The 13,776-nt window shown below is 43.3% G+C and overlaps 1 annotated feature.

The window, feature by feature from the left end:
• Positions 12,907-13,276: an enhancer, noted in NCBI's record as "active region_21441". NCBI's record gives its function as "activates an Ori minimal core promoter by ATAC-STARR-seq in GM12878 lymphoblastoid cells {active_cell/tissue: GM12878}" and the evidence as "EXISTENCE:reporter gene assay evidence [ECO:0000049][PMID:35858748]".

The following is a 13,776-nucleotide window of genomic DNA, read 5'->3' as shown; positions in this document are numbered from 1 at the left end:
GCCACCCAGCTGTCACCCTGGGATTTCCTTTTCTTAACCTCAAAATTCCTTTCAGTTCTCCTCTGTATTGGATCCTCTTTTTTTTTTTTGGTCCCATGACATCCTGTTTCTCATTTTACACTTTCATTTTGGGTGAACACATCCTCCTGCAGCTTCCAGATCATGAATATCTATACAATTCTTTCAACCTCATACATGATTGATATTGGACTAGGTTTAGAATTCTAAATTGAAGATATTTTTTCCTTAGAAATTTAAAGATGTTGCTCTCCTAGCTTCCAGTGCAGCTATTGGGAAGTCTGATATTTTACCTGTTTAATGAGGCATACTATTTCCTTTCTGAATGTATTTAGAATCTTCTTTTTGTCCTTGGAATTCCAGCGTTTTATAATGATGTGTCTTGGTATGGGACTTTCTAAACCCCTTATGTAGGAGACCCTGTGATGCCTCTCAATATGAAAACTCATGTCCTTCAGCTCTGAAGAATTTCCTTTTTTTTTTTTTGGACACAGAGCCTTGCTCTGTCACCCAGGCTGGAGTGCAGTGGTGCGATCTCAGCTCACTGCAACCTCCGCCTCTTGGGTTCAAGTGATTCTCCTGTCTCGGCCTTCTGAGTAGCTAGAATTATAGGCATGCCACATCATGCCCAGCTGATTTTTGCATTTTTAGTAGAGGCGGGGTTTCACCATGTTGGCAAGGCTGGTCTCAAACTCCTGACTTCAGGTGATCTACCCGCCTTGGCCTCCCAAAGTGTGGGATTACAGGCATGAGCCACCATGCCTGGCCTGAAGAATTTTCTTGAATTATTTTTTGAATAGTTGCAACCCTTCTATTTTCTCTGTTCTCTCTTTCTGGAACTCCCATTTTATTTGAATATTATAGTTCTTCATCAGGTCTTTAATTTTTTCCTATATTTTCCATCTCCGAAATATTTTTTTACCTTCTCAAACTCTGAAAGAGTTTGTGTAAAATTGGTGTTATTTCTTATGGGTTTTGTGTGTGTGTGTGTGTGTGTGTGTGTATTTTCCATCTCTGAAATTTTTTTTTACTTTCCCAAACTTTATCTTCTGACATTTCTACTTCATGTAACTTTCTAATTTCCTTCATTTTTTTCCTCTGGACACATCAATTATAGCTTTTTGAAATTTTCTTCTGCTTTTTAAAAATTATTTCTGCTTCTACTGAGCTCTTATAAAAATCTTATTTGTTTTTATCTCAGTTTTTCTATTAGAAAATTTCTCAGATGTTTGGTCTTCCTTGACTCTTTTCTCATATTTAAAAGTGAAGCACTAAAAAGCTGATTGTAAGTTGTGTAGTGTGTGTGTACATGCATGTGTATATGTGTGTGCATATGTGTGTATGTGTGTGCATGCACATACATGGTGGTGTTGAGAGCTGGAGGGAGCTCGCCAATGGATGAACTTTTCTGTACAGTGATCTTGCTGGGCTGTTTCATTGGGAAAGTCCCATTTTGTAGTTTCTTTTGGTCTTTTCTCTTAATCTAGACAGTTTCCTCAAATCTTTTTGATTTGAGAATTATAAACCTGACTGCCATCATTCTGAGACTGGAGTGGAGGGAAAGGGATGAGCCCCACAGGGTGTAGAACTCCAGCTGATCCCCAGTTTTCTATATGGTGCCCTGCCGTGATGTCACTGAGGCTGGAGTCTCTCTGGCTAACCCTCTTTGGAGGGTCAATTCTGGACTTCTGAGATGGGAGATAGCGGTTGGCAGATCTGGAGGCATCTGTGCATCTCTGTTTGTACAGGCTTGTAACCAGTCTTCTGTTCTCAGCCTCAATTGCACCCTGGGCCACCAACTCCTGAGCCACAACTTTCTGAGGTTCTGTGTCTCAAATCATCCCGCTTCAGGCTGCCCCCAATTGGTTCTAGCTTCCTTTGGTCAGCTAAGCTGGTAATCACTTGTTCCGTATGCTCTCCAGCTTCCAAAATATTTCTTTTTCCTTTCTACTTTCTTTTTCTCTTTGTCCTTGTTAGTTAATATCTTTTTTTTTAAGCCACTCTCCGTTATTTTGGTGGGACTGGTGAAGCTGGGGGCAAAACTGTAAATGATGTTTTTATTCTTTTATTTATTTTGATTTAGTATTATTATTTTATTTTTCATTCGGAGTCTTGCTCTGTTACCCAGGCTGGAGTGCAGTGGTGCCATCTTGGCTCACTGCAGCCTCCACCTACGGGTTCAAGCAATTCTTGTGCTTCAGGCTCCTCAGTAGCTGGGATTACAGGCATGCACCACCATGCCTGGATAATTTTTGTATTTTTAGTGGAGATAGGGTTTCACTGTGTTGTCCAGTCTGGTCTTGAACTCCTGACCTCAAGTGATCTGCCCACCTCAGCCTCCCAAATTGCTGGGATTACAGGTGTGAGCCACTGTGCCCAGCCTGATGTTTTTAATTTACCAAATTTAATGGGTCTTTTTAGTGATGGAATTCAAATAATGTAATGATGAAATATAAACTGAGCTGCATTAATTTAATTCTAATTAGATCCAGGTGACAGAGCGCACGCCTGTAGTCCAGCTACTTAGAAGGCTGAGGCAGGAGGGTTGCTTGAGCCCAGGAATTCAAGGCTGCCATGTGCTTGATCACTGCTGTGAATATCTACTGCACTTCAGCCTGGACAGCATAGCAAGAACCTGTTTCTAAGATAAATAAATAAATCTAGCTGGACACAGTCTTAACTTTACATTTTTCTTGGGATGCAAAATTTGGTTGTTGTTATAGGATTGTATATTCCCATAAGTGTTCTATTTGTGTCAAGTATTTAGAATAAAAAAAAGGAAAGCTAAAAATCAATAAGCCTGAAGGAATTAGAAGACAAACAGAAAATTTTACTTAAAGAAAGTATAATAGAAGGAAGGACATAACAAAGATTTCTTTTAAAAAGCCAAATGAACTAGATGACACTGTACAATTCAGCAAAGTGAAAAGTAAAGCCTTCATGAGGATGATCATGAACAAAACAGAGAAGGCTTACATCACCAATGCTGGAAACGGAAAAGGAAACATCTCACCTTAGATGCTGAGATGGGAGGATTGCTTGAGCCCTGGAGGTCAAGGCTGCAGTGAGCTGTGATTGCACCACTGCACTCCAGCCTGCACAACAGAGTGAGACCCTGTAGTTGAAACCATGATGCTTTTTTTTTTTTCCAGCATAGGTGTTTCTCTAAAGAGCAAGGTCTGCTTCTGGAGACAGACAAACAGTTCTGGGTTCAATATCCATGTTGAAAACTCACCTGAGTCACTTTGGTCAGACACAGCTCTTGGTTCCTTCTATAATCTCAGAATAGATTTGAAACGACTCCCTTCCTCACAATTATGCTTCCAGGTTATAATTCTGCTACATTTATTTATGTAGTTGCTTGTTTATTTAGCAAACATTTATTAGCAAGCAAGTCCAGAGCCATTTCTGCAGCTGGTTCTTTAAGGCTAAAAGAAGCCCCAACTCTCTGTCACTTTAGGTGCTTCATCTACCACATTGCATGACAAGGTCATCCAAAGCAGACATGCTGAACCTTTAGAGACAGGATTCTGTTACCTTGACAGCTGGCATTGGATGGAGAGTGAGCTGTGATCCTCTGAGTCATGGCTTTACATGGAACCAGTTAGGGCTTTAGCCCAGAGCTATAGCTCAACAGTGAAGACTACAGGGGTCAAAGGTCATTATATTCTATTTGTGGAATTGTGCGAGTATCTGTAAAATACTTTAGCCAAGCCACATATTTTAAACACCTTTAACGCCCAAATTAGAGCCTATTTCTAAAATCCATCATGCTATTTGACAAGTCATTAGGATCAGAAATAAAAACCTGTGCCTGACATTCCCTATGCTGATTGGCAACACAGTAGCTGTTGGTCAAGATACAAATAACTGAAGCATGTATAGCAGCTGCTGCTTGGGCACAGACTTCCTGGATCGATTGCCCCATGACCACCTGGGTTAGAATTCTTGCTTAGAATTGACAACCTGGGCCTGGCACAGTGGCGTTTGCCTGTAATCTCACTACTTGGGAGGATGAGGCAGGAGGATCACTTGAGTCCAGGAGCTCTAGGACAGTCTGGACAACATAGTGAGACCCTGTCTCTAAATACAAAAAATAAAAAGAGAATTGACCACCTGGGTTGTGGCCTAATGAAAGCAACACATATGATGTCACACAGTATATATGGAAATACTTAAAATAAATTGGAGATATTGGAACAATCATCTCTGCCACATCTTAATTAATAATCTGGACAAGTTAGTCAACATTCCTGCGCTTTCGATTATTCATTTGTTCATGCACATAGATTTTTAGGTCAATAAAATAATGTACATAAAGTACTTAGAATCATGTCTGATATAGAAAAAAAAAAAACCACCCAATAAGTGGTAGCTCCTCTTACTAACCATGTAGTGCATACCACTGTACATCTTCTGCTTGCCTCTCAGAAAGCCTTGGCTCTTGTCCAAGTTTGGTCAATATGGAAAGAGAAAACTGAGGTCCACCCAGATATGCTACATGCTAGTACATGCTAAGCTGACACAGTGCAAAGGCAGGCCCTAGGCTTACAAACTGGAAAAATTCATTTTCCTCAGTGTCCCCAGAGGTTACGCATGATAAGCTCCTTAGAGACTGATGTATAAATCAAACTTTCAATTTATAAATTATCATGAGCAATTTAGTTACCAAATGCATTGGGTATTTTAGTTCCTAGAAGTAAATGCTAATATCTTTAGGATGAGTTTATTTTATACAATGAATACATTCCTGAAGACTGCATTATTCAAAACTTACGTAACTCAAAGCAATTTTTCCCACATTAATACATTTAAAGTATGAAAGAGTAGATTTCCAATGCACATAAATCTACACCAGTTGGGTACATAATTGCTTTTTAATGGTGCTTTTCATTTCTTCGGCATGATCTCTGATATTTTGCAGAAATCAATCTGCTGAATTATAAGCATATCATATCATAATGGCTGTCCGGTCTTCTGCAAAGCCTTTTTATGACATCTAAAGTGCAGAATAAATGCACTGCTTCTGGTGCTTTTCTGTGCCATCACATTATGAATGCTCACATGACATGGCCATAGGATGTTAACAAAGTATTTTCAATTATAACAACATTTCAATTGTCAACAAAATCACTTGGAGTTCTGAGCTATGCGAACAACAGCGTAGTCTATGAGATATCTGCAAAAGGAAGAGAGGATTTCTGTTTTAGAACTGAAGTGGCACGTTTACAATTCACTTGTCTGAGCAGCTTTGACATGAGCAATTCTTGATTTTATTTTAATTTGGGGGATTTGCACCATTTCTCATTTTGAGCACAAAATGAGACCTTATAAATGTTCTGTATTACACAATTTCAAATACATGTAACTCAAATTTACCTAAAACATGACTGTGTTGTAACTGACAAATTATTGCCCTTTCCATCTTTTCTTTGTCAAGGAGGATTGCGTAGGAGAGAGACCTTGGCTTGACCAGGGAGATCTGCATCTAATTTAGTTCTTTGTCACTTACTAGTTGGGTGGGACTTCGTTTCCTTATTTGAGAAATGGGAATTATAAATGCCTGACATAGAGGGTGATTCTGAAGATGAATGATACTATCAAACACTTACTAGGGACCTTCCTATAGGCCACCCAATTTATTTTTATTTTATTTATATTTTTATTTTTTTTTTTATTATTTCACTTTAAGTTCCAGGGTACATGTGCACAACGTGCAGGTTTGTTACATATGTATACATGTGCCATGTTGGTGTGCTGCACCCGTTAACTTGTCATTTACATTAGGTATATCTCCTAATGCTATCCCTCCCCCCTCGCCCCACCCCCTGGAAGGCCCCGGTGTGTGATGTTCCCTACCCTCTGTCCATGTGTTCTCATTGTTCAATTCCCATCTATGAGTGGGAATGGTGTTTGGTTTTCTGTCCTTGCGATAGTTTGCTCAGAATGATGGTTTCCAGCTTCATCCATGTCCCTATAAAGGACATGAACTCATCCTTTTTTATGGCTGCATAGTATTCCATGGTGTATATGTGCCACATTTTCTTAATCCAGTCTGTCACTGATAGACATTTGGGTTGGTTCCAATTTATATATATTATTGCATTAATTTTACTGAAATTCCATGGAATAGACATTATTATTCCATAGAGAAAATAGGGCTCATGGAAGTTAAGTAATCTCACTCAGGCCAGATAGCTAATAAACAGAAGAACTGAGATTCAAACTCAGGTATGAACGGACTTCTTTTTTTTTTTTTTTTTTTGAGATGGATTCTTGCTCTGTCGCCTAGGCTGGAGTGCAGTGGCGTGATCTTGGCTCACTGCAACCTCCGCCTCCCAGGTTCAAGCTATTCCCCTGCCTCAGCCTCCTGAGTAGCTGGGACTATAGGCGCGTGCCATCACGCCTGGCTAATTTTTTTTTTTTTTTTTTTTTGTATTTTAGTAGAGACGGGGTTTCACCATGTTGGCCAGGATGGTCTCGATCTCCTGACTTTGTGATCCGCCCGCCTCAGCCTCCCAAAGTGCTGGGATTATAGGCGTGAGCCACCGCGCCCGGCCAAACTGACCTCAAATCAAGACACACTCCTCCTTACTGGAACTAAATGAAATCATGTCTATATTATGCCCAAGAGTAATATCTGACATGCTAGCTGTAGGATCTTGTAAAAGAAGAAAGAAAAAAAAATTTACAAAGAATAATATCTGTCATAAAGCAGATAATAATAAATGGAAATTAGTATTACCATTGTTATGGAAACCTTCTTCCCCATGTCCAAAACACACATACACACACACACACACCATCTGTACACTAGATTGCTTTAATCTTCTTCTACTCATTTTCCCACACAGAATGTTTATATACGTACACATACATATACACATACCTGTACATACACAGTATGACGAGAGAAATGAAATTTCTCAAGGCCTTTCCAGAGAACTTACAAAGACAAATACCTACTGCTTTTCATCCCAGTCTCTGCCTTCATCTTCACGTGTCATTGTCCATTTCCCTGATGATGTCTCGTCACATCATCTTCCCTCTGTGTGTGCGTGTCTTTGTGTCTGAATTTCTCTCTTTCATAAGTCACACCAGATTAAGCCTACCATAATGACTTCGTTTCAACATGATGACCTCTGTAATGGACCTATTTCCAAAGAAGGTCACATTCTGAGTTACTGGGAATTAGAATTTCAATGTATCATTGGGGGGGACTCCCAGTGTGCAAGAGGGTTTGTGTGTGTGAGAGAGAGAGAAAGAGAGAGACAGAGAGAGAATACACGTGAGCAGAGCTAACACTGGACAAAAGCATTGTGGGAGTTGATATGGATTTGTTGTTGAAGCCCATTTACCTGCTAGAATCTCTTGGTGTCTGGCATGTTGGATGTGTTAACTCATAAATCTTAGGATTGCAAGTGACTCAACTTGAACTAGATTAAGCAAAGAGGGAATATATTGAGTTATATAATCAAACCATAGAAATGGCAGGGGTGGCTGGGTGCGGTGGCTCCTGCCTGTAATCCCAGCACTGTGGGAGGCTGAGGTGGGTGGGTCACTTGAGGTCAGGAGTTCGAGACCAGCCTGGCCAACATGGGAAATCCCATTTCTATTAAAAGTACAAAAATTAGCTGGACTTGGTGGTGCATACTTGTAGTCCCAGCTACTCAGGAGGCTGAGGCAGGATAATCGCTTGAACCCCAGAGGTGGAGGTTTCAGTGAACCGAGATTGCGTCACTGCACTCTAGCCTGGGCACAGAGTGAGACTCTGTCCAAAAAAAAAAAAAAAAAAAAGCAAAGGAGGAGTAGCCTAGCCTTAAAGAGCCAGGGACTTGAACACTGTCATTGCTGTCATTTCTCTCTTTCTTTCTCAGCTCTTTTCTACATGCTGCCTTCTTTCTTCTGGCTTTCTCCATTGAGGGTGCAGGCATGATGTCAGACCACTCCTCACTTCCATCCTTGCAGCCCTATAACCAGACAATTAGGAGCAAAGCGTTCTTGATTGGTTAGGGAAGCATGCCAATAGGCTCTTCTAGGATCACGTGACCTTCCCTAAACTGATCCCTGAATGCCCACCCTTAAACCTGAGTCATATGCTTACCTCTAGCTAGGGGTCTAAGAATACTAGGATTGGCATTATTGAAGCTCGAGAGGAACAGTTCCCCAAAGAAGGGGATACAATAAACAAGGCTTTAGGCATGTGTGCAGCCCAAGATAGAGCTTCAAATTTTGACTTCCTCCAAGCTTACCTACAGGGCTATTATACCCTAGTGGAGGGCTGAGCTGGGCTTTTGCTGTCCTGGAATCTCACTGCTGTCCCCAGTTGTTGGGTATGGGTTGTGGTGGAGATTGCCTATCTTCACCAAACTCATTGCCTCCTTTCTCCTGGCACAGAGCTGCACTGTATTTTGCAGGCTCTGTTGAAGTTACATCGCTGGTAAGCACTGGCCAAGTAATTGAGTTACAGCCAAAGGGTGATTAGAAGTGACGTGTGCCACCTCTACATCTGATCCACAAAACCTCCCATTCCCCCAGGCTCTTCCCTGCTGCCAGTTCGAAGCAGATGGGTGTGGCAGCTTGAAGTCACATGTGAAGTTGATGGTACCACAGGATGGAGGGAGCACAGGTTCCTGAATCTCTTCTTGGAGAAGGCCCATCTGCTCACCAGGAATCCCATTTGAGACTCTACATGAGAAATACACGTCTATTATTGGAGCAATTACAAATTTCAGAGTTTGCTACAGCAGTGAGTGTTTCTCTAACCAACAGAATTTCTTCCCTTTTTCATCAATCCTGCTTTCCCAAGTAGCCACAGGGGATACTGGAGCCAACAGAGCTGGTTTGAATCCTGACTCTGTACTTACTAGCCAGCCACTCCGCATCTTTGGGTGCAGCCTTCTTCTTTATAGAATAATCATGCCTACTTCATAAGGCCAAAGTAAGCTTTGAACACTAGAGGGAAGATGCATGCTGTCATCACAGAGTAGGTGTTGACCGTATTGTGTTTTTCAACTACCACAGGGTGACTTCATCCAAAATAACTTCCCATCTGGCTAGGGCTGCCTTGGAGAAATATCTTCTCAGCTAGGAGGTTCTTCAGTCTCAAGAGGCTTCCTGAATCAGAATGCTTTATGTCCTTGGGCTATGATAAAGTGCCATTGCTGCTGATCCATCATTCTACCAGGAGGCAAACCCCAGCAGATGGTAAATCCCCAGTTCTTGCTCTTGCTCTCTGGAGCTCCTCAGGTAGGAATAATTCCCAGTTCCAGGCTTGCAGACCTCTGACTCTTTTTTATTTATTTACTCACTTATTCATTTTTTCATTCATTCATGCATGTGTCCACCTGTCTGCTTATCCATTCATCCATGCAACAAGTATTTACAGTGTGCCAACTTCGTGCCAGGCAATGTATTGAGAACTAGAGATGCAGAAGTGAAAAGGAAAAGCTTTACTCACTCTCATCGAGCTTCCTTTATACTGAGAGGTCAGACAAGAGAGCGACAGACACTATGGTAGGAGTGAGTGCTACAGGGTGCTATGGAGGCTCAGAGAGGGCACTTAGTCTAGGGCTCGGAAGAGGCGTGCCACAAGTAGTGATGCCAAGCACAAGTTTTTCCTGGCAAAAGAATGGCAAAGCTGGTTCTACCACAACCACCAGCTACTCTTGAAATCAACTTTTTGGGATCTTCTACTAGCCTGCTGCATCATGTAGATATACCACCACCACCACCACATCTACCACCATCACCATCACCACTACCTCTACCACCACCACCACCTCTACTACCACCGCCACCACTGCCATCACCGCCACCACCACCACGATTACCAGCACCACCACCTCCACCACCATCACCACCACCTCTACCACCACCATCACCACTGCCACCACCACCATCACCACCAGCTCCACCACCACCACCAGGCCACCATCACCACCACCACCAGCACTACCATCATCACCATCACTACCACTGCCACCACCACCATCACCACTACCATCACCACTACCACCACAACTACCATGATCACCACTACCACCACCACCATCATCACCATTACCACCAGGACCATCACCACTGCCACCACCAATACCATCACCACTACCAACAACACCACCAGCACCATCACTATCACCACCACTACCACCATCACCACCTCCATTACCACCACAACCACCATGGTCACCACCACCACCATCATTATCACCATCACCACCAACACCATCACCACCACCAACACCACTACCACCACCATTGCCACCAACAACAACATCATCAACACCACCAACACCACCAACACCATCACCGCTACCACCACAACCACCAGGATCACCACTACCACCACCACCATCATCACCATCACCACCAGGACCATCACCACTACCACCATCAACACCATCACCACCACCACCATCAACACCATCACCACCACGACCAGCACCATCACTATCACCACCACTGCCACCATCACCACCTCCACTACCACCAAAACCACCACGATGACCACCACCACCATCATCACCATCACCACCAACACCATCACCATCACCATCACCAACACCAACACCAACACCAACACCACCACCACCACCATCACCACCACCACCATCACCACCTCTGCTACCAACACAACCACAATGATCGCCACCTCCACCACCATCATCGCCATCACCACCAACACCATCACTACCACTAACACCACCACCACCAACACTACCACCACCAACACTACCACCATCACCACCTCCACTACCACCCCAACAACCATGATCATCACCACCACCACCATCACCACCACCGCCACCACTGCCTCCACCACCATCACCACTACCACCAGTACCACCACCATCACCACTAACACCACAGCCTCCACCACCATCACCACCAACACCACCATCCCACCATTACCACCACCATCATCACCACCACCATCACCATCACCACCACCATCACCATCATCAACACCACTACCACCACCACCACCATCACCTCCCTTTCTGAGCTGTGCCCTGCTGAACTTCCAAATTTCTTGAGAATATCGTCCCCTGGGGAACCCTATGGCTATTTTTACTTCTTCCATGTGTGCCTTCCTCCCCACAACCACCAGTGTTCCACTCAAAGGGGCATAAACATCTATAAGGCATTCTGTATGTATGTGTTTATATAGTCTTTTTTTTTTTTTGACAGAGTCTTGTTCTGTCATTCAGTCTGGAGTGCAGTGGTGCAATCTTGGCTCACTGCAACCTCTGCTTCCCAGGTTCAAGCAATTCTTGTGCCTCAGCCTCCCAAATAGCTGAGACTCCAAGTGCCCGCCACCATATACGGCTAATTTTTTTGTGTTTTTAGTAGAGATGGGGTTTCCCCATGTTGGCCAGGCTGGTCTCAAGCTCCTGATCTCAAGTGATCCGCCTGCGTCAGCCTCCCAAAGTGCTGAGATTACAGATGTGAGCCACCAATCTGGCCTATATAGTCTTAAACATGCTCACAATATATATGTTTATGTATCTTTGTAAGCATATGCCTAATGCCTAAAATGGAATATGGATGTATACATGTTTGCACAAATACACATATGTGTGTATATACATAAGGCATATGCATACACGTGAAGAGACATATATATAATCTTCAAATTTTCAAGAAAACAAATTGTTAAATTGAGGGTACTACCTCAGAAACCAAACTTTATTAAATTTTCCCAAAAGCAGAAATAAAAGGCAGTCTATAGATTATTTTGCTATCAGAGACAACCAACAAGCCCAACAACTTTGGAAGTGCCTGGCTGATATGAAAGTTATTCTTTTTTCTTTTTCTTTTTAATTAAAAATTAATTAATTAATTAATTAATTAATTAATTAGAGACAGTGTTTCACTCTGTTGCCCAAGCTGCAGTGCAGTGGTGCAATCACAGCTCACTGTAGCTGCAAACTCATGGGTTCAAATGATCTTCATACCTCAGCCTCTCAAGTAGCGGGGACCACAGGCATGTGTCAATTTTTAAATTTTTTTGTAGAGGGGGAGTCTTGCTAGGTTGCCTAGGCTGGTCTCAAACTTCTGGCCTCAAGTGATCTCCCACCTTAGCTTCCCAAAGTGCCAGGATTACGGGCATGGCCACTGTGCTTGGCTTACCTTTTTTCTTTGAAGAAGATGTTTTTATTGGAATAGAGTTAGCAGTTTCTTCCCTCCTCTTAGTATCTAGAATAATGAGCCTAGTGCGGTGGCTCATGCCTGTAATCCTGGCTCTGGGATTGTTAGAATTTCTGATGCCCGTGAAAGTGACCCTTAGGGTTGAGAGAGAGGAGAAAAGCTTTCTCTTAGATTTTATTAATAACCAAGAGAATTATGATGATGATATTAATAATAGCAATAATTAATATATAATTAACACATAACACTCCCTATGTGCCAGGCACCATTCTAAGTGTTTTGACATTTGCTTTGTTTGTGCCTCAGTGTTTGAGATGTTATCTCGTTTATGTCTCATAAGTACTCTCTGAGGTAGGCTCTAATATGATCATCCCAACTTTACAGATGAGGAAGGTGAGGCACAGAGAGGTTTAATGACCTGCCAAAAGTTACAGAGCAGTTGCAGAAGCAGGATTCGAACCCCGGCAATCTGGCTCTAGATTGCCACATTACCCTTAGCAGTCCTGCTCTCACGCAAGGCCGCCCTGGAAGGACAGGAAGAAGAACCCTCTGAGCCGCGAGAAGGTGCTCCGAGAACCCTCAAGAGGACCCCGGCCCTGAACTAGAAGCTCCGCGTGCCTGGGCCTCCCTCTCCAGCAGGGGGCGCACACAGCCCGCATTTTCTGGACTCCTCTAACCACAGATACCTCGGCTTATTGAGAACTGGAACTCCTGACCTTTTGTGGGAAAGGCTCTGATCTCAAAACTTTCTCTAGCATTCTTGAAGTATTTACAGTGTACTAATCAAAGGAATGATCCGGTACATGGACATAACCAAGGGAATGATTCAGGACCGTTCTTGGAGGACCTACAATGTGTATCAATAAGCAGAAACCCAGGAAGCCTGTATAGGCCCCAAGCTTATAACAGCGCTGCCTGATTCCAGATGAACCACAAACACTCCAAGCCGGGGTTTTTCTCACCACACCCGAAGACATTCTATTAAAATAGCCCTGTTCGTGGGTGGCCTCCCATGCATGAGTCCTCTCACATGGTCTGCGTGCTGATGGGGCTGTGCTGAACTCACCGCATTGGCCTATGGAACACGTGCTGAGGTGTTTTCTCTCTAGTGACCTTTGTCACATCCTTTGCAAGAAATTAGCTCAGAGGAGCAATCCCTGAAGGCCAAACCTCAACCTGCACCAGAGGCAGACAGGAGACGAGGTTTGGTAGAATTTGTACCTCTCATGGTGGTGGGAGGAGGAGAATGGCTCTGTGAAGCGCTCCTTCCACCCTTTTAATGCTGTGCAATAAAGACTGAGTTAGGGGCTCAGGCCTGTAATCCCAGCATTTTGGGAAGTCAAAGTGGGTGGACTGCTTGAGCCCAGGAGTTCCACACCAGCCTGGGCTACATGGCAAAACCCTGTCACTACAAAAAATACAAAAATTAGCCAAGCACGGTGGCGTGTACCTGTAGTCTCAGCTACTCAGGAGGCTGAGGTGGGAGGATCCCTTGAGTCTGGGAGGTGGAGGCTGCCGTGAGCCGTGATTGTGCCACTGCACTCTAGCCTGGGTAAGATCCTGTCTCAAAATTTAAGAAAAAAAAAAAAAAGACTGAATGAGGGG

Source organism: Homo sapiens, chromosome 4 (assembly GCF_000001405.40).
Source record: "Homo sapiens chromosome 4, GRCh38.p14 Primary Assembly".
Classification (NCBI taxonomy): Eukaryota; Metazoa; Chordata; class Mammalia; order Primates; family Hominidae; genus Homo; species Homo sapiens.
The sequence above is the reverse complement of the archived record's forward strand: the minus strand, read 5'-3'. Positions and strand labels throughout refer to the sequence as shown.